Here is a 2,050-nt window from a genome sequence, read left to right on the forward strand (position 1 = left end):
CTATTATAAAGACAAATGAGAACAGTATATGGTAATCATTAAATGTGAAGGCTCTGGACAGAGACTGCCAAGTGGAAAGTCCTGGTCTACAATTTATAAATGGTATACACCCTCAGGAAAGTCAATTGCCAGTCTGTGACTCAGTTTCTTTGTCTGAGAAAAGGACACAGACTGTAGTGAGTATTAATAAACTAATATATAGGAACATTTAGAATGATCCCAGGCTGGTAGCAAATAATCTAATTATGATTAATTAATTAATGACTCACACTATGATACTTTGTATGTTTAAAAGTGATCCTGAGGGTATATATATTGTGTGGTACATACATAATATATATTGATGTATTAATAGGTCATTTAAAGGTCACATGGATAAATCAATAAATTTGTATATTAAAACGTATATATACAAAATAATCATATCCTGAGACAGTACATTTTTAAATTACTTGCGTAGTCGTTTTAAAAATCCACCAGAGGAACTCTTTTATGCATTTCTTCACCCAGAGTGAAAAAGGAGATGTAACTTTTCAAATTCTATTTTTCTTGCTTCATTTTTAGCTGACCAATCATTAAAAAATTATCAAACTGGAAAAAAAGCATTTAAACTGAAAATCTCAATCAAAACATAATAAGCAGAACTATAATCCAGTATCAACATATTTTCCTCTGCCTAAAGCTAAAATACCTTTTCTTATTAAGAACCATACAAGAATCCCATTCCCCTTGCAAAGGAGGCACATTTATCTGAGGGTAAATTGTGCAATATTACCATCATAATTTCAAAGGAAAGAATGAAAAGCAAACACAACTCTCAAAATGCTCGGGCTAGTGTTCACTAAATTCTGTTGTCGTAGTTGTTAAAATGATTTCAGGGATAAAAAGAAAACTGAAAACTAAACCTTTTATATAAGATGCCAATAAAGTTGCTACATCATCTGAGTTACTCAAATCCAGGTTTTATTTCATAAATTTTAACCTAGCAAATACTAAATCTTTAATCTTAGCAAGGTTACATAGTATAACTGTAGGTCAACTAGAGCAGACACCAAGAGACCTGGAGTGGGGGACCTCGTTCCACAATGGTTGAACATACTTGAGAAAATCAATTCAAGTCTCAGTACTTACTGTCAAACTGTCAGAGGAGTTTTAAAGATATATGAGCATAATTCTATACTAGATGAGAGATTAGGGCCACATAAACCTATGGATGCTCAGATAAACATCAAAGAATTGTGACATTGACCAAATCAAATTTAACAACACAAACCAGATTTTAAATTTTAATACTTAGGGAAGACAAAAAAAATTTCATTAAAATGGTAACCACCAGAAATAATCTGAACTAAGAATCACAATGCTACAATAACATTTGAGAAAACACATTAATATGACATACTACTAAATTATTTGAAAATATATCACAACAGAATATGAAATACAAATGTAATATTATTTTAAAGGCACTCTAATAGATTTAAACAAAAGAAAAGCAACTTCAGCAAATTCAGATGGTTACTTTTTCCTGAAATATATATAAATATTAATGTGCAAATTTTAAAAATATATTTCCATCTTATAATTGAAGCCACATCTGAGTAAAGAACCCTGATTAAAGTTTCAGGAATACACATTTGTGAACAATAACAACAAAACAATGGTAACAAGAACTTCTTAGCAAATTACTATATTAATGAAGCAAAGAACAAAACCCCAAATGCAACTATTGAGAGCCCAATTGTCATAAGCATACTATTTCTTAAAATTATTGATCTCTGAACTATTTTTCAATAACTCACAAGGTCAATAAATGCAGCATGTAGGGACCATTTCAGAGTGTGGGACAAAACCATTCCCGTGCATACACATGATTAGACTAAGTTTCCAATTTATTTGGCCTTAGATAACGAACATCAGCAGAAGGTGGGTAGCTACGCAGGGCAGGTTAGTAATTGAGCGAGGACTGGCTTCCTTGCATTCAAGGTTTCTTGTGAAGGAACACTACCTATGGGAGGGCCAGCATTCCATCTGAGAAGTTACACTCATT

Source organism: Homo sapiens, chromosome X (assembly GCF_000001405.40).
Source record: "Homo sapiens chromosome X, GRCh38.p14 Primary Assembly".
NCBI lineage: Eukaryota > Metazoa > Chordata > Mammalia > Primates > Hominidae > Homo > Homo sapiens.